Source organism: Homo sapiens, chromosome 4 (assembly GCF_000001405.40).
Source record: "Homo sapiens chromosome 4, GRCh38.p14 Primary Assembly".
Lineage (NCBI taxonomy): Eukaryota > Metazoa > Chordata > Mammalia > Primates > Hominidae > Homo > Homo sapiens.
Window position 1 is genome coordinate 181,154,369 of NC_000004.12, and position 20,553 is coordinate 181,174,921.

At 37.5% G+C, this 20,553-nt stretch overlaps 1 long non-coding RNA gene across 1 annotated transcript in view, besides 1 other annotated feature; it reads right to left on the reverse strand.

Annotated features, from left to right (window-relative positions):
- Positions 1–4,781, reverse strand: part of LINC00290 (long intergenic non-protein coding RNA 290) — a 95,061-nt gene extending 90,280 nt beyond the window's left edge. Inside the window, exons 1-2 of the long non-coding RNA NR_033918.1 lie at positions 4,708–4,781; positions 1,245–1,371 (exon numbers count right to left, since the gene is read on the reverse strand). This is a non-coding gene — a long non-coding RNA (long intergenic non-protein coding RNA 290). The remainder of the gene's footprint in view (positions 1–1,244; positions 1,372–4,707) is intronic.
- Positions 12,243–13,074: an enhancer, noted in NCBI's record as "OCT4-NANOG hESC enhancer chr4:182087764-182088595 (GRCh37/hg19 assembly coordinates)". NCBI's record gives its function as "activates a minimal SCP1, AML or CMV promoter by ChIP-STARR-seq in primed H9 embryonic stem cells {active_cell/tissue: H9 hESC(primed)}" and the evidence as "EXISTENCE:reporter gene assay evidence [ECO:0000049][PMID:30033119]".

Sequence of the window (20,553 nt, forward strand, 5' to 3'; positions counted from 1 at the left end):
AAATTACATTTGAAGTTGATGAGTCCCAACGTTACAGCTGTAGTCTGAAACTCTTCCCTGAACTCCAGATTCCTGTATCCAATGGCCTACCTGACATATCCAATTGGAAGATGCCAGTGGGTATCTCTTTAGTTGTTCTCAGTCACATCCCAAATCCTTGTCACCAGCCAGTTCTGTTGGCCCTCCCTTCAAAATGGATCTAACACCCTACCACTGCTAAACATTGCCATCACGACCTCTCTGGCCCAAGCTACCATCAACTTTTGCCTGAATTGCAATAACATTTCAATTAGACTTTTTGCTTCTTTGTTTGCATTTCTACAGTCTATTTCACCAAAGCCAGAGTGATCCCTGTAAAATGTAGGTGCTGTGGTTTGCATATCTCCCCGGAAGCCCATGCGTTGCGTGACTCTCTTACTCTTTCCTCAGTCATCTTCTTGGAGAGTCCCTACCACTGAAGCCTATTCTGAGCACCCATAAAAAAAAGCAACCCCACTCCTTAAGCTCCCTAACTCCCTGCCTGGTTTATTTTTCTCCACAGAGTTGTCAAGTTACCACCATTTGACATTTTTAATCTCTCTCTATCATCTATCTCTGTCTCTTATCTATCTATCATCTATCCCTCTCATCTTTTTCATCTGCTTATCTATTATCTATCATCTATCTCTCTCTTATTTCTCTTTCATTATTTTCTACTTATATACCTATTATCTATAAATCATCCATCTCTCACATATCTCTATGTATGTATGTATGTATGATCTGTCTGTCTATCTATCTATCTATCTATCTATCTATCTATTAGCTGTCTGTCTGTCTCTCCCTGTGAAAATGTGGAATCCATGAATACAGTGTTCTTGTCCATTGCTATATGCCTGATATTTAGAACAGTGTCTGGTAAACAATAGGTGCTCAATAAATATTTATTGAAATAATGATTAAATGGATAATTGAAATCAAAATCTGGTTACCAGCCTTGCCACAGACACCCTCCTGTGACAGGTTCCCTCCACCTCCGCCAAGTCTTGCAGTGGGGAGTTCAGTTGTGAAGCACAAAAGACAAAGGGCCCTCCGAGGAAAATCCGTGGGGCTCTAATGCCACACAGTGGGGTCCGGCCTGTTTCTTGTAGTAATAAACACTAGAAAGCCCTTGAGAACACGAGGCTATCAGATGGTGTGGTATAAAAGAAAGAACAATGCACCAGCAAGCAGAAGATACATATTTGGATTCTGAGTCTTATTACCTGTGGAGTCCTGAGCAAGTTGCTAATCCTATTTGGCCTCCATTTCTTATCTGTACAGTAACAGTGATGGATTCGCTTGTCTGAGATCCTTTCCACACCTTCGATTTCTGTTAAATTCTGTGGGTGTCTGAGGAAAGATGGAGACAGGGAGGGAGGAAAAAGGGAGGAAGACGGTTTTTGATTATTCCTATACCTGCTAAGAGATAGAAAGAAGGAGATAACTTGTAGTATAAAGAATATTGCATAGAAGAGATTATTTTGGCATGACTGCACTACATAGAAAGAACTTAGTTTTATAATTAGGCATCTAAGCATTCTAAAAGAACACTCAATTTACACTAAGTTCCACATTTTCTGTGTTTTGGACCCCAATGCTTACACCTTTTGTCCAGACCTGGAGGTCTGTTTTCATCTCTCTCATCATGATGAGAGAGTTGTTTCATCAACTCTCATCATAGTTGAGAGTTTTGGGTTTTTACAGACCATATTGAATGTAATTATTCATTTGTAGGTAATTACTAAAATAAAAACTATTCTGAGTTTTCTTAAAATGACACAATACCTTTCTCCTCTAAACATTTTAATATATTATTTGAGCAAGATTTATTCATTTTTATATTACCACATATGGAGATTTTAATTTAGTGATTAGTAAAATTATTTAAGAAATATAAACCCATGCTCAGTAATATTTTCCAATACGTTGAAAGGTTTTAACATACTGGAGATGGTGGTTTTCTTTTTCATTATGTCTTTGAAATTTAATATAAAAATATGATATTCCATGCCAAGTGTGTGTGGCATTTTAGTTTATTTTAAATGAGTTCTCATGAAAGGTTGCACTCTTTATGACCATAGAAAGTTCATCATTATACTTAACTAGCCATTCTGTGCACAGTGTTTTATCAGGCAAAAACAAAAAAGACACTTGATGTTTCAGATGTTTTACTAAGGCTGAATATGAATTTCTAACTGTACCGAAATGGAACATAACATTGCGGTTTTTTTTTTTTTTTTTTTTTTGAGACGGAGTCTGGCTCTGTCGCCCAGGCTGGAGTGCAGTGGCGCGATCTCGGCTCACTGCAAGCTCCGCCTCCTGGGTTCACGCCATTCTCCTGCCTCAGCCTCCCGAGTGGCTGGGACTACAGGCGCCCGCCACTACGCCCGGCTAATTTTTTGTATTTTTAGTAGAGATGGGGTTTCACCATGTTAGCCAGGATGGTCTCGATCTCCTGACCTCATAATCTGCCCGCCTCGGCCTCCCAAAGTGTTGGGATTACAGGCGTGAGCCACTGCGCCCGGCCGACATTGTGTTTCTTAAAAGCACAACCCCTTACGGTGTCAAGCTAACAACCCAAAACTATGGTCCAATTAATTGAGGACACTGTGGAGGAGGTCAAAGATCCCATAAAAAGTTAGTAAAGACATTAGATTTTAGACAATCAAAAGAATCTGGAGAAATGATCTGTGGTCATAACGATTACCTCCAGGGCTGAAGAGAGCACTCAAGAAGATATTTACTGGGCACAGTGATTCACACCTGAAATCCCAACACTATGGGAGGCCGAGGCGGGTGGACCACCTGAGGTCAGGAGTTCGAGATCAGCCTGGCCAACATGGCGAAACCCTGTCTCTACTAAAAATACAAAAATTAGCTGGGCCTGGGGGCATGTGCCTATAGTCCCAGCTACGCAGAAGGCTGAGACATGAGAATCCCTTGAACCCGGGAGGCGGAGATTGCAATGAGCCGAGATCCCGCCACTGCACTCCAGCCTGGGTGATACAGTGAGACTCTTTCAAAAAAAAAAAAAGGAAGGAAGGAAGGAATAAGCTAAAGTTTAAATTGTCATGTGTAAAGCATCTAAGCATCTCACCCAGTCTAGTTACAAAGAAGAATTTAGACTTGTAAAATCTACCACAACATTTCATTCTTTATCTGTAGGAAATTTTTATTTTTCAGAAGCCAGGTAAATGGGAGTTGCAGATGGTGTGTTTCTGTTGATTATTTTTTGAAATTGGAAAACAGAGATTGTAGTTCTTTTTTTCAGTTGCTTTAAAGCGAACCCACATGTAACTACAGCCATTCCATTTAAGTGAAAGCTGAACCATTCGACACACCATAGTAAAGACAGTGTATAAAGTACATTCAGCAAAAAGGATGTGGATGGAATATGAGACACATGGCTGAAACTACTATTAATACCTTGAGGTTTAAAATTGCTGAAGGGGTAGGCTCCATTTCTGCGGTTCACTAAAGGACAGAGACCTGTATTTGAACTGAGGGCTCATTTCTCTTGACCTAAATGTGTCACGGTAACAAACAACTCTCAGAGAAGTGGTAAATCATAGTCATTAAACAAACAAATCATTGTGGACTGTCAGTTCCTACTTTGAAGAACTTAAGCCATCTTCAGTATTATACAGCCAAAAAGCATCCCGTCCCTTTGAAAAGCTGCACAGGCTCTTCACTTCCAAGTCATCTATTTCTTGGAGGCTTTACTTTTGCATGTGATTTCTAAATTTTTTATAAAATGTATCTGTTTCTTCTGTGCTGCTCTGCTTCTCTTTTCTACCACCTAATTCTTAGATTATAATCAGTTTCAAAAGCACACTAAAAACACCATCACAGATGTTCACTCCATCTTCAGGAATTTGGTGTTGCCACCCATTTTCCCAGGGGCAATATCATGCGAAACGCCTTCTGCTGCAGTTTGTTTCTTTATTTCTGTTCCGAGTGACCTGCGGCAAGAATTGCGCTGCCCTCGCTATAGAAAGTGGCAATCCCCCACTGCTTATGATTATTGAGGTTCTTTGAGGCAGGGCTCACAATCTCAGATAAACTGTGCCCCTCAATTATAAGGGCTAGCTGAATATGATCCTTGCCTTACAAGTACCTTATTTTCCAATACGCACTGTCTACATTCAATTATCAGACATTATTGGAAACACAAAGGTCACTGCTTACATCTCAAAAGCTCTTAAAGCAAACATGTTATTGCCTCCTGTACATTTGGGCTTTAAAACCTCAGAATTCACTTCAGGACACTATTACCCTCATCTCTGTTCTTTTTGAACATCATAGCATGATGGAAAATTTCCTAGTCCAAATACCGAATCAGCCAACAAAGCAATTCAAAAGGAAAAACGCCGAGCTTTAAAAATTGCAATACAAAATGACTGCTTTCGTTCTCTGTCGCCTTTGTCCCCACCCTTCACTCCAATGTGAAAGCCAAAGCATCCCTTTGCTAGCATGACAATTTGAGCTAAGAATAAAAGCCAGTCATTATTTTATCATTTAATATTAATTATAATAGTATTAGTCATGATGAACTCCTGTTGCATTATGTGGCTTTCAAATGTATTCCCAAAGGACTTTGATTATAATTTGCCATTTTATTCATGTTCAATTATTTTAAAGTGTTGCTGAATTAACGAGATCCACTTAGCCTTAATCACTACTTACCTCATCAGTTTATAGCACTGAAATGTCTGGCTTATAAAGACGATCTGTGACAGAATGAGACGGAGCCATCATGGCCACGGCTGACATCCAGGCTCAGTTCTGAGGGGTGATGGTTCTATGGGACAGGCACTATTTCAGCACTGGTGGCTAGATGCAAGCCCGCAGACAGGAGGACGGCGTGGGAGGTGGTGGCTACTGAGAACTCTCGGTGCTTCATTAAATACCTTGCCAACCCCTGGAATTATAAATAGAGTGTTCTGTATGTTTTCCTTCTGATGCACACTAATAGTCCTGGCTTTACATCCCTTATGTCTTGAAAATATAGCTGCATTGAGATTGTGTTGTTGGTGGTGATGTTTTAAATGGAATACAGCTCTGCCTGACTGCTCATCGGCTCTGGTTCATTCTTCATGACATTATTACGTGTTATTTCCATGAGTTCCTTTGTCTGTTATGCCCAAATTTTATTTTCTTTCACATTCTCCTTGGGCTGTCTTCTAGATTCTACCAATATACTTCATTTTTCCACTTGAGATTTATAAGATCTCTTATAATTCACACTAAGTTTTCTCATCTTCTCATTTTGTTGTGTCTTAAGTAATTATAGCAATCATCTACCAGGTAATTAAAAATTACCAAGAACCCTGGAGTGGCTATTTACCTTGCCATGGCATGGGTTAATACTATGTAAGTATTATGCCCCTACTCATGTGTCCAGCACCAATGTCAGACACTACAGTAGATCCAGAAAACTAATATAAACAGCTTCTGACAATTCAACTGGACAGGGCTGATTAAGGTCACTGGAAGAGTAGTTATATTCAAAATATAATAGATGCTAGCCATCAGAAACCCCTAGATTTTATCAAACACCACCTCAGCAAATTAAATGACTTTAATCAGAGTCCTAGTAACCAGTTTGGGGTAGCATTGATAAAGATTTCTACAGTTTCAGGTGGGAATTCTATATGTGAGCCTTTTAACTCGTTGACATTATAACTGAGAATTTCCCAACCATTCCATCTTCTGCTTTCTGACTCAAGGATTTAATTCAAAGGAAAAATGAATTAAGATGGCCTGCAGCAACGTTCTCCCTTTTATCTAGCCTATCCATATTGTGCTATTTAAATTTACTATTCTCATACCAAGAACTTGCTTAGCGACTGGGACTGTGGCCTTTAATATTGCTCTGAAAACTGATAATGAACAACTTGAACAGGGGTTTTTAGATTTTTTTGTAATTAAAAGTATGATGCGTTCAATCATGACATGAAAATACATGTGCAAGCCCCACTCAAAGCAATGGCATTTTTAAAAAAACTGTCAGAATAAGAGTTTTATATGTTATCATTATACATTATATTGCTATGCTGTATGCATATGTACACAGCATATATATACACACATGCTAACTTTCTTCATTGTTGGTGATAATAGGAATAAAAATCAGAGTTGATGCTGAATCGTGGTTTGAATTACAAAGTTATTAATGCCTAATAGATGATATTAAGTGTTACTACAAGCTGAGTGCAATTCCAACGGTGTTGTTGGTATTAACTTCTTTAATTCTCACAATGACTAAATTATGCAGAATTCTATCCTCATTTTACATCTGAACAACTGAAGCAGTGAGTAATTTAAGTGACTTCATGCCACTCAACTAGAAATTGATGGGGCCAAGATTTACCTCCAACTTTAGGGTGGCCCATGCTCTGAACTTTGACACTCCACTGCCTGGTTCTACCTCACAAATTATAAACTGAATTGGCCTTTATGTAGCCACAGCCATGTCCTGTGTTTTGTTTTCTTTTCTCCTTCAATAAGGAGTTTCTTACAAAATATTTTGTGCAAGTTATTTTTTGAGAAACACTAAAAGAAAAAGATATCCCTATGATCTTTTTTTCATAGTTCTAAAGCTGATGGAGGTGTGCCTTTGAAATATTCTGTTCATGAATTTGTAATATATTAAATCTGTGGGTTAAACTTCCTGCCAAGGCTCATGACAAAATTTGCGTCCATCCAGAAGGAATTTGGAAATACTCCATAAATAAAAAGAAATCACGAAATTTCCAGGCTCCGGTGGCACACCCCATGTTGCTTCCACTTTAGTGAATTCTTCCTTGTAAGAATTATTGAATGGCAGTTCGATACCGATCTTATCTGCTCCCTGGCTTCCCCTTCCATCATCTCGCTCCAGGATGTGGCTGCTGAGATGATTTTCCGTTCTCGCTTTCCTAATGCTGCCTTTCCGCCTCCTTGAATCTCTTCATTGCTTGTCCTTTTTGATATGACCTTCTTGTACCTTGAAATATCTCCTCTGGTTCAAAAACCTCTGTTAATTCTATTTTCCCTTCCTCTGTCCAGGCTGCCAGTCGGATTCTCCCTTTCCTCATCTTCATTGAGAGGGCGTCTCTCTCACCGGCCCTGCTGCTTGAACAGCATGCCTCTTAGCAAATATGAAGCTCTTCATTTCATTAAAAAACAAAAACTAGAGATGCGTTTTCAGGAGAGTTCTTGAGTTGCTGTGATGAAGTCGCATAAATAGGATCCTCGTTAATTTTAACTCTAAATGCGGCAGCCCTCTCAATAGTGTTCAAATTGATCCAACATCTTCTACCCCACTTATCGCAACTTGACCTTGGAAAAACTGCACTGAACAGAAATATTTTAAACAAGCCTTTGACTGGTGTTATAATTACAGTCTTACAAAGAGCAAATGCCAATGGTAATCAGATTACGCATGTTTGTACCACAGGAGGGAGAATAACACGTTAAGGAGAGTCACCATTAGTCACTGAAAGGCTCCAGGAAGTAGCTTCAACACCAAGTATTGTGCACAAGTGAGTGCTCTATGTTGTGGATGAGAGTCAGCACAGTTGGAGTACGTAGTCTTTTAAATTGGGCCATACACTACCAAATTAATGCATAAACATTATTCACAAAAGTGGATTGTTTTCAAAACATCAAATCCCTAAGGTTTCACAGGGTACAACTGAAAAATTATTACTTACACTGATCACAATTGTTCTTTTGATTTAATGTACTTAGTTTGTTTTCGATTATTGGAAATTTAACTGATATTCTTTGATGATAGGGATGCAGAAACAATATTACATTTTAAAATAAACTTTAAGAACAATATTTATAAATTGAACATCTCCAACGTAGTTCTTAAGCTATTTGCTTGTTCATCTATGCAATGATACAGTTTTCTCTGTATTATTGCAATGATAAGTATACCTGCCTCACTTTCTATATCAGTCAATCTCTGATGGGGACAATTTTTAAAGTCACGTATTAAAAGCACCCTTTACAAATTGCATATGTGATAGAAACTTTTCAAGGTGCAATTATCTCATTAACAAATTACTCATTTAACAAGCTGACTCATCAAGATAATAAGGAGGAAGACTCAATGCTGATTCTTTTTAGAGAAAGAAGCTCGTATTATGTGAAAGATATTTTCATAATTTAAGTGAACCTTATAAACATATCCTTTGCAACTATAGTCATTTAGGTACTGGATATGATTTTGTATTTCTAATCATTTAACATAAATGAAAAAAATGAGAAGCAGTAGAATTAATGTTCTTCATGATCAAAACGATTCCGACAGAAGTGGAGATTATATTTAAAAAAGTTCACATGGTATAGTGATGCAAACCTTCCAGATTATTAGCATTTTTAGTGAAAGTAATGTCACCGTCATGCTGTTCATATTAACTGTGGTAGCATTCAGGGCAATACGCTTCCCCCAGCTTCCTCTGCAGCCTCTAGTCCCTGGCCATCTGGAATCTCTTAGCAAGGGTTGATTTGGTGCTATATTAAGCTTCGCTGATCTTTCAGATACAGTAAACTATTGTTTTATTTTGTTCTGGTATAAACACAAATAATAATTATTAACTTGAAGGGACTTTGGCTCAACATAAAGATTCCTGGACTCTCTTTTGCCCTGTCGAAAAACAAAGTTAGTTTCCACACATCCCAAAGTGTAAAGTGTAGACTCCAGTGTAAAAAGAATCATATGCTAGCCTTTTCCCAATTTGTATCTTAAAATGACAAAAGAGCATATTCAAGTAAGAATTAGAAGTAAAATTTAACTTTAAGTCCATCTTCCTTCTAATTTAGCAATTAATCTTGTGAGTTTTATTGCCTTTGCTGATGTCTCCAAATTAAAGTCTTAATGAATGACTATAAAATGCCTTAAACCATGCAAAAGCATGCTGGAACTATTTACTGCGGTTCTCCTTTTTGGTCATAGGTGAAAGAAATATGTACACACGCACACACACACACATATACATACACACATTTGCATACTCCTGTGTTAAGTTGTCATAGTAACATGCACAGGGATCTAGGCTCCAGGGCGTCAGAAAAAAATGAGTTCTCATCCTAGAAATGCTCATAAGCCTGGTTTGTAGGAGAATTCGCTGGGCCTCAGTTTTCTCATCTCTGAAATGGGGTGCCCTGTCTTCCTCCTTACCTCAAAAGACTTTGCCAAGATTAAATGCACTAATGCCCAAAAACGCACTTTGTAAACTGAAAAGTAGTATAGCAGTATACAATATTATTCCTAGGTTTATTATGTTAGTCAGCTGAGAAAGTTTTACAGGTAAAGCATTAACACAAAAGTACTTGTGAGTCAAGTTCAGGCTGATGTATTTGGTCTTGAAATTAATTTTTGCATAGCATTCATATAAAGATAGTGATGATTTCAGGACTCGTTTATTTCTTATCAACGCAGACCAAATTATAAAAACTTATAAAAGTTATGATGCCGGGCACAGTGGCTCACACCTGTAATCCCAGCACTTTGGGAGGCCGAGGTGGGCAGATCACTTGAGGTCAGGGGTTTGAGACCAGCTTGGCCAACATGGTGAAACCCTGTCCCTACTAAAAATACAAAATTAGTTCGGCATGATGGTGCACTCCTGTAATCCCGGCTCCTCAGGGGGCTAAGGCAGGAGAATCACTTGAACCCAGGAGGTGGAGGTTGCAGTGAGCCAAGATCGTGCCATCGCACCCCAGCCTGGGCAACACGAGTGAAACTCCATTTAAAAAAAATAAAATAAAATAACTTAAGTCCAAACTAAGCAGATTCAAGGAAAGCTGTAATCACACTGAATAGTTAAAGTAATAATAATATTGATCCACACTTCCTCTAATAATAACATCATCAAACATTTTGTAAAAATTAATTAAGTCTCACATGTTCCTTATTTGAAAATAAATTAATAATTTATGGCATAATGAGACCTGAACAATCAGCACCATTAACTGTTCTTAGGATGAGTTTAATCCCTTAGTCATTTAATTTAATCACTAAAAATACTTTCATCTTTTATTGATTTGTATTTCAACTGTCCCCGTTTCAATTTTTAGAAATACATCTTGCTTAGTCTTTAACAATTTATAATATAAACTTTAAAAATAATCTGACTTCTATGAGTCTATGAAATTAAAAGGGAGAGGATTAGATATAGTGTCTTTCCACAAGAAATCACATAAACAAGGAAGTTTATTTGGTTTATTTTGAAGAAGGTAGAATTATTTCTAAAAACTTGAGAGAGATTTAAAAAAAACCTTTTAGGTGACATAAAATCAGAATCTAAAATATTTCATTACTTTCATGAAAACTTACACGTTTCACCTCTTATTATGTAAAACTCTAGCTAGGTTCATCTTTTTTGGAAGATATGAAATGGACCTATGAAAGGAAACCTTTTTTTCCAAGGTAGAATGGTACAAAGTTTTCCAGAAGTTTAGCAGATTATTTTTGACTTAGTTATCAATGTAGAAGAAGAATGAAAAGATGGTGAAAATGTTACTTGTTGGCAAATATCTCTATTTCTTTAAAAATAATATACTTTTGCCAGGTTAATTAGCAATAATTACTTTTAATAAATAACCAGGACGGGGCCCAGTGGCTCACTTTTGTAATCCCAGCACTTTGCGAGTTTGAGATTAGCCTGGGCAACATAGCAAGACCCTATCTCCAAAAATAATGAAATGTTTGAAGAATATGTCAAGCCTGATGGTCTGCACCTGTAGTCCTAGCTACTCAGGAGGCTGAGGCAGGAGGATTGCTTGAGCCCAGAAGTTTGAGGCTACAGGGAACTAGGATTGGGCCACTGCACTCCAGCCTGGGCAACAGAGTGAGACCCTGTCTCAAAAATATATCCATATATATATATATATATATATATATACGTGTATATATATATAGCCAATTCCTTAACTCCTTGTATTACCTCTGAAGCCTCAAAAAAGATAATACTCAAATAAGCAATTTTTCTCAATGGACAAAGCAGAAAGCTGCCTGCCTCTTGTGCTATTAGGAATGTCTTGTGATATCAGGAAAGCACTCTACCCTAAAACTTCTGTTCTCCTAACCTCAAGGCATAGCACAATCACTATTACAATTGTAAGAGCAACAATAACATCATAATACATATAGCCTCATTTATGAGTACTTACTATGTGCCAGGCACTCTACGAAGCATTCAGTATGGACACAATTGATTTTAATTCTCGTATCAACACTGTAATCTAGGTATTATTATCTCTGTTGCAAAGATGAGAATGCTGAGGTATAGAGTGGTTGAGAAGCTTGTCCAAAGTCACACAGCTAGTAAGCGGTAGGACTGTTTTTTTAAAACAAAGTCTGCTTAAATTCAAATCTTTTGAAATTCATTTCTGTGGATTTTTGAAGCCTTATTATTCCCTATAAGAATGCAAATATCTTGTCACTATGACCTCACTGCTGGAAAAAAGGAAGCAGTGAATTTCTTAGTAATTTTCCTATCCAATAGTTATAACTGGGAGACTGTAGCGTTCTTTGGAGAGTGGATTTTAGGATAGGTTTGTTTTACTATACTTTGCTTTTGGGTGGAGGGTGAAGAGATAAGTGCAGAGGATGAAGTCTTGTCAATATAGACAGTGCTTTAATAATACGCTACCTTGAGAGAGTACCTGATAACAAGCGGATAGGCAGTAGATGACAGAGACAGAAGAACGATACGGGTACATCCAAAAAAGCTTCACCCACTTTATAAATTTGCTCAGAGGGAACCTAGGCAGAAAGCCAATTCTCTACTTATTTTCTGGATCCAGTCTCATTACATTAAATGTATACACACATCCTTCTGCTCATAGTCCATTGGTCAAAGCGAGCCACGTGGACACATCCAGTTCCAAAGAGCACTCCTATCCTCTCGTGGGCCCAGAGAGAAGAGAACTAGAGGAGTAATGAACATTCGTACTAACTACCGTCATAGTAACTAACATAGTTACACATATGGAAAAATGAAATAAACCTAGCCCCTTTTTTCAAATATAAGTTATATTTTTGATGAGTTAAAGACATAAATATTAAAAATCAAATTTTAATACATTTAGAAAATAGAGCAGAATGTCTTATGACATTGAGGTAAGTGATAATTTCCTTAAAAATGAAGAATACAGACTCCTAACCAACAATATTAGTAACTATCATTGCATTGAAATGAAATACCTTTTGCAGGACAACAGTATGTTTTTAAAAAGGAAAAAATATAAGCCACACACAGAGACAAAAGCAACCCATATGGGCAATAACAAATTAATTTCCAGAGCACATAAAACATCTGAAAATCAATATGAAAAAGACAGCTAACTTAATATACAAATAGACAATAAATACAAACAGATAAGCCATGAGAAATGAAGAGACCGTCATTACACAGTGAATGCTCAACCTCACCTAGAATCAACAAAATGCAAATGCCACTGAAGTACCATTACAGACCCATCTGGAGGCGAAAGTTCAGAAGTTTAACAAGACCCCTGTTGGGGGAATATGAATAGATGGGAGTTCCCTTATATCCCGGATGGGCATGTAAATTTAGCTTACTCACTTTACATAACAAGTTGGCCTCAGGGACAAACCCCGTATCCCACTTCTTTTATTTCCCCTCTTAAATAATACACAAGTGATTGTGTTTAGGGTTGTTTGCAGTAGCACTGTTTGTAATGATAAAAACTTGAAAGCATCCACAGAAGAACAGATGCATCCGTTGGAATCCACTCCCTAAGAAGTAAGCTTTCCAATAGCAGCCACTTTTTCTATTTTGTTGGCTGTTAAGTCTTCATCACCTAGAAGAATGCCTGGAATGTAGTAGGTGCTCAATAAATATTTAATTAACTGAAGAAACAAATGATGAGATAATTGAAATACTATAAAGAATCTAAAATGAATGAACCAGAGTTACACGTATCAATATTGATATTCCTCAAATTAATGTTGAGTGAGAAAAGCAAGTTGAAGGATATGTAACTAAGAAATCATTTTTATAAATTATAAAACACGTAAAATACTCTCTATTGCTTATAGAGAGGATAAACATATATACAAATATCAAAACCCGACAAGAAGGACAAATTCAGGAAAGCATTTGGGGTCTAGCAGAGTGTTTATGAGATCAGAGAAACTAAAGGCAACCATAATCTTATTCGTATTTTTTTCTACAAAAGCTGATATGACAAGTTAGTATTTTTTAAGCCTGCATATTGCAAAGTATCTCAAGTTTTGAAAATATTGGTTTCTGTACCTCTTTTTGTATAAAATATGCAATGACAACATTATTTACTGAGAGTACTCAGCATACCCATATTAAATTCATGAAGCAACTGAGTAGGCAATTTTGTTTCTTAATAGAGTATTGTAATTTATTATACTTTGATATTCAGTAGCTTGGCAACTTATTTTAATAATTTACTAATTTCAACTATTCTATTCAAATTTCACCGGTTTAAAATATCGGTATAATTTTGTGGCTAGAGAGCACTGAACTATGTTGCAGAAGTTCATTACTGTCTTCTAGAATCTCATACGGACTGTTACATTTATATCTAACAGTAATTAATTAATAAATGCCCATGTGTAAATTACAGTATTCTGGCTAGAGTACAAAATTCTTCTAGTCTTGTCCCTGCCTTTTAGAAGCTTACCACTGAAAGTCTTTAAATGTAGAAAAGATTTCGTAATACACAAAAAGAAAAGCTACATTCGTTCAAGACATTATTTCTCAACATTTCTGTGGCTTGATATTTGCTCTTTGTTCTTCTGCATTTATAGCTCAATCCTTCTGGGCAAAGATGGAACCCTCTTAAATATTTTCTGCACTCCCAAGCATTACTATTCACACTTCATAAATAATAAAAAAAATCACGATATTTAACCTTTCATTACATTTGCTCTTAGCTATTCCATTCGTCTCTTTATGATTTGCCTCTGATTCATCTTAATGTCTTTAATGACCATTTTAATTAAACGAAAGAATTCCGCATGGCTATAGTTATGGATTACGCTAAAAGGAATATACATGTATAGCAAAATTACATATATTTGTGACCTTACGACAATCAAGGCTGTTTAATCCTTATCAGTGACATCAGTGTGGACCCAATTAGCACAGTTTGCAGCCACTTCATAATTCAAAAGAATGTGATCATTCAGCTGGAAGCACATTTGACAGAAACTCCATAGTCATGAAGGGAAAAGCTTGCAAGATCACTCACTAGGATGGAGAAGCTGTCATTCTTTCATCAGTGCTGTTGAATACTAATGTCAAGGTCAGGATGGTGTAATTTTAGGCTGCCAAAATATTGCTGGAATTGATATACCAGAAGATGTTTAAGAAAGTAAAGAAATACAACTTTGGAAAACTTTCCCAAGGTAGGGTTTGATATGACTCCTTGCTGCCTGGAGACAATTCTCCATTTTATCATTGTTTTACAAGAAAATCTTCTGCTAGTCCTGCGCATAACGATTCCAATATTCTTCCCTTCCTTTGTCCCTTATATTATTAAATTTATATCTTGGCTAAGAATTGTAACTATTGTAAAAATCTATTCCTTTGAGATTCTAATTTTAAAAGAAAGCCTGCTTTTCTTAAGCTTACCGTTCACCCCTTCACCCTCCTTCTACCCCAGGTGGAGCGAGAATATAAGATACATCAAATTCAAGTATGATTTTCTAAAAATGTCATTTCAAATAGGTGTTTCTCTTCTCCTCAGAGTGTAGAAAATAAGAATATAATAAATTGAAATAAAAGTTCAAGTTACATGGAATTTCCGAGACAATAGCTTGTTCTAATTAAATAATAATTGCTTTACATTGTTAACCTTAATTCCATTTGTCTATGGTACTCTTGTGATGGTGGTTGTGGTGTTTTCCAATGCTTTTATATACGTTATGTATGTTATAGGATCCTCATGACCGTTCTGGGAAGCAGAGAACTGTGTTTCTTGCCATCATTTTAGAAGAGACATGTGAGGGTCTAATAGCTGTTGACTTTCTGAAAATTCACAGCATGTAGGATGAAAATCTGGTCCTGGAACCAGCTTCTGGGATATGTTTCAGTATCCTTATATTGTTACACATTGGCCACTTATTACGGTATCTTTGGATCCCTAAATCATTCTCCTAATTTCTCCCTTTTTCTGTCTTTTTTTTTCTTAATTTTAAGGGCAACATAATAGGCAAAATGCATTGCACATTTCTTTTATTTTTACTTTTACTGAAATCTCCAAGACTCCATTCTCTCAAACAGGAAAAAAAAAAAAACCCAAAACTCACAGTTGCCCTGATCTGATTGATTTTGCAAACATAAATATGTCAATGAGCTATGCCAAACAATAGCTCAGTAGGACTGTTTTCCATATTCCAGATACATTTTGAAAGATGTCTAAAATGACATGTTTGCAGTAAAATATACATGGCCGGGTGAACTTTCCTACTCTTATCTTGCGCCTCAGTAACTCTAAAGAGAAAGTGAAATCTTCTCTTCTGCATCAGACATGTTTTAAAAATATTTAAATATTGCTTTCAAATATCCCTTACCCTTCATAAACATACTGCATACTTTTAACAAATTCTAATTTTAACTTACTACTCAGGACTGCTACTTAGGGCTTAGGGGCAGAAAGCCATCACCTTTTTAAATGTTTTCCTGGTGGATGTTTTAACTGAATTGATTCAGTCTACATTAGACCATGCTTATGCTTAGCTTTAAACAGAATTTATCAGCTTCCTCTGGTGCTTTAAATCTTCTGAGATGATTATGGAGACACCACTACAAGCCTGCTTGACTGCTTGACTTTAAGCAATCTTTTATGATTTGGGTATAAAATAAAAATGGATGCCCTATTTTAAGTGACTAACAACTTGGCCTTGGAAATCGTGGAATAAATACACAATGAGCCCAGCTAGCCCCTGAAATACACAGTGCCACGGCGTCAAAGACAGATCTTACTCAAAGGTCACCCTCTTACAGTTGGAGTTTGAAGAATAGGAAGCAGCATGTGGAAGGTTGAAGAAAGGTTGTGAAAACCTCAGCTGGCCAGGCACAGCGGTTCACGCCTGTAATCCCAGCACTTTGGGAGGTCGAGGTGGGCAGATCTCTTGAGGTCAGGAGTTCGAGACCAGCATAGCCAACATGGTGAAACTCTATCTTTACTAAAAATGCAAAAATTAGCTGGACGTGGTGGCACAGGCCTGTAATCCCAGCTACTTGGGAAACTGAGGTGGGAGAATCCCTTGAACCCAGGAGGAGGAGGTTGCAATGAGCCAAGATTGTACTGCTTCACTATAGCCTGGGCAACAGAGCAAGACTTCATCACAAAAAAAAAAAAAAGTTCAGCCCAGGGCATTAACTGAAATATATGCAGAAACAGTGTATATATATATATTTTTCTAGCCCATCTCATCTTAGTCTAATAGATATCCTCTGTCTTTTCATATACAGCATTTGTGTTCAGCCTGAATGGTGTTAATCCAACAAATATTTATACAGGGTCAACAGGTTCTGTGAACAGTCCTGGGGATTCATTAATAAATAAAGGAAGTCCCTTCTCTCAAGAAGCTCAAAGTCCAGAGGCAATGCAGTTTTTTTCTTTAAGGAAAATACAGACATTGTCAATGCTAAGATGGGTACTACAATGACCGTATGAGAAAAACACAGCAAATAGAGGCAAAGGAAGGGGAGAGCACGTGCGTCTCAGAGTCCACATGGTATCGGCCCTGTCTAATGCCTGGGTAGGATGAAGGAGCTGAGTGCCAAAGCTTTGTAAAACCAGTGGGCTGGCTCCTGTGGAGTGAGTTGCCATAGGCCATGTCTATGGCTGTCCTCTCCTGGCCCTGCCATACTCCAGTAGGCAAAAGTGCTTTCAACATTTAAACATCCATCCTCTTCCTGGTGCTCCTCCCCAGCATAGGGTCTTATGACATCAGCTATGCTTCCTGTCTTTGAGGAAGGTCCTTGGCTCAGCCTGTTCCCAAGAGTGCCAGGCAATGGCAATAGGGGTCTGCCAGGCCTGTGAACTCAGGGATTTGCACATAGGATTCTATTGTTTGACAACTCACTTGCAGATCATAGAGACTTGATGGAATTATGTAACCTTAGCATGCTTCTATTTTCTTAGTTTTAACATGGGAAAAATAAACACACCACCCTTAAAGGTTACAATGAGAATTAAGAGAAATGAAGCCTGGGTCTTCCCTCCTAGAAGGCAGTTGATAAAGCAGTTTATCTTTCTTCTTTCTTCCCACCTTCCCTCTTCTTTCTTTTATTTCTTCATCATCTTCTTAGCCATCTTGTTTGCAAATTGCAGCTCAGTATGAACCAGACCTCCATGAGGTGGAGAAGTGAATACAACTGACCATGTTCTCCAAATAAATCACAAAGAACTAAAATCATCTGTGCTTACAAGACCAGAGGGTTGGAGTGAAGATTAAATGAGATAATGCAAGGAATGCATTTAGCACATAGTAAATGCTCAATATGTATCAGCTGCTGATAGCCGTAATATAGCCTAGTTTCACTGTGGCAATGGAGCGGAATTGCTAATTGTGCAAGAGTTGGATGAAATAATCCAAGCAAAGCACTTAGCATATAGTAAGTACTCAATAACTATTAGCTACTATTAGCTGCTACTAGCTGAGTTTTTACTGCATGAGTGGGAGTGGAATTGACAAAATTATCCTAGGATGAGGGTTCTGCTGTTATTCCATACCCTGCAGACAGCCTTTGATGGTAGCTGAGGAAATTGCTTTATTTTGTACCTGCTATGAAGCAAGCAACTGGTGTGATCATAATACTGGCAGAGAAACGGCAGCTGGTAGAGAAAAGAGAAGACAAACTCCTTTTTTTTCTCTTAGCCCAACAGAGCAATTATCCTAGTCCCCACAACCAGAAAGAGAAAACAAGACAAAACAGTACTTAAATTCTATACTATATTCAAGTCTTAATGAGAACGATTTTCTCCCGAAGGCTCTTCTAATCCACTGGTTTGGCCAGAGTTTCAAAGGGTTGCATGAATTCACATTAAAATATTAAAGTTAATATTTCAAAACTTTATAATGCCTTCCAAAATATTTTTGCATATATCACCTTCTACATTAAGTAAACATTTATTTGGTACATTATGTATGTAACATTATAGCTTTCAAAAATTATATAAGAAATTGCAAGGAAAATGTCAAATATGATGGGAGAAACAGTCTTATTTTAAATGTTTGCTTCTAGGGCTTTGACTTAAAAATATTAACCTTAAATTTGAAAGGCCAAGGTTCATACTAAGTTTTCCAGAAACACATTAAAATTGTCACTATGAATATCAATAAACTAAACATCACTTTGAGTTTCGGCTTTCATCTTCAACTCAAACTTAAGCACACATTTCAAGGTTGCTTATGTATGTTAAAATATTCCATAGAAAAGTTTGCAAAAAGCCTGTTTGTGAGCCTAAAAGTCCTGGTTATCTTCTTAACAAAGACCTTCAGTTGAACAGCTCAGCACAAAAGCAAGCCTTTCCAAGGCAACAAAAAAGACTGCTAAGTCCAAAAAAAGAAAAAAGGCTCTAATACTACATAATTTGATTTGGGATCCAAATAAATTAAGAACAAGCCCCTCTTTCATTAAAGCAGTGACCCATTTTATGGCAGTGGATTGTGGCTTGTTCACCTCTTTATTCAAATGTGACTTATGCTAACTAATGGAATTCAGGCCCCACCATTTCTAAAGGGGGCACAATTGTGGCAGTTGGAAGATGGAGCTGTTTCCTTTCCATTCGAGCCTGATGTTTCCTCCTTGAATTATAAAACTTGAGAAATACATGTTGACGTTCTGTATTCGCAATGTGGGCATTGGCTGGGCATCACCATAATTGTCAGTGACAGACATTCTTTTACAAAGATAAGTTCTCACCTAATTTGTGTGAAGCAGTCCCCAAAGAATGTCGCGGTAACAGCCAGCACATGTGCAATATTGCTTTCAAATAACATGCATGTGCCAAATGCCAAAATGAAAATTTGTGGAAATGACATCTGCAATTGCAGGAAAAAAAAATGTCTCAAAGAAATCATGGGAGATTCTGTGTTTCTGGGAGTTGTTTAGGTCAGTGCTCTTTTCATAAAAAATGACTGCTTTGTCACTCTTCTTGTGAGCTTCTCTGTGAACTTTAGCAAGAGGCAGGAAAGGGGTTAGGTCATTCAAGGGGCATCAACAAAAGCAGCAAGTTCAGAGTCACAACTACAGTACGGTGTAAAGGATGGATACGAAAGCTCGTGGTTTCTCAGAAATTCCTATGTCTAATGTCTAATTTGATTTACTTGTATATGTCAAGCAAGGTTTAGCAAATCCAATGACAGGGCTTCTTTTAAGGAAAAATAGCAATAGCTACAGTTTATATGATGCTTGCTGTGCGCCAGGCACCCTTCTAAGCTCTTTATGTATATTAACTCATTAAATTCTCACAGCAGCCCCATGAGGTCTGTATAGTTGTTATTCCCATTTTACAGATGAAGAGGTCGAGGCATAAAGATTAAAGACGAGGCTGGATGATGGCTCACGCCTGTAATCCCAACACATTTGGAGGCTGAAGCGGGTGGAATGACTTGAGGACAGGAGTTTGAGACCAGCTTGGGGAACACAGCAAGACCCCGTTTCTACAAAAAAATTTAAAAAATAGCCAATTGTGGTGGTGCATGCCTGTAGTCCCAGTTACTCAGGAGGCTGAGGTGGGAGGATCTCTAGAGCCCAGGAGTTGGAGGCTGCAGTGAGCTATGATGATTAAGTAAAGGTTAAAGTTGGAAAGCAAACACTGCCTGGTTCCAGGTTCTGTGTGCTTAACTACTAGATTATACAAGAAAGGAATGCTTATTTAATTAAATAATGAAGTTAAAGCACTTGACATAGTGAACATTCAAGCAATGTAATCTAATGTTATTGTTTTTATTATCATTCTCATTATATTTGCACTGTAGACTCTCTAGCCAATACTCCCATAAAGCCATTATCTGGATAATTTGATCAGTATACACAGCAGCTCTGGTCTTCGGAGCACCCCAACAGAAATCATTCTCCATTTCAAGGCATTCAGAGATAAAGTGTGTGAACAATTTCTTTAGAAACCAACTTACTTTTTCCCATGCACATTATTATTTGGTAAAAATATTTGTAGTTGTATAATTATATTAATGATACAGATAGTTGTTTATTTTTAAGCTTCAACTCAAAAACATTGCTTCCCTTCCTCTACTATGCTTAATGCTTAATTCATTTTGACAGCTTTACTGAAAATGCAAAACTTACAAGTGCCCCCTTTTCCGACTTTGCCTCTCAGGGAGTAGGAGGTGTGGAAACTCCCCTTGACCGTATCAGCATCTGTGCAGGTGATGAAAATTCATGAGCTGCCTCTTGCCTTGAAAGTGAGCAGGATCTTCCAACTCCTTTATGAGGGTAACAGTGAGAAGAAACCTTCCCTGGAGTCCGGGGTAGAGGACACAGTCACCTGCATAAGGCA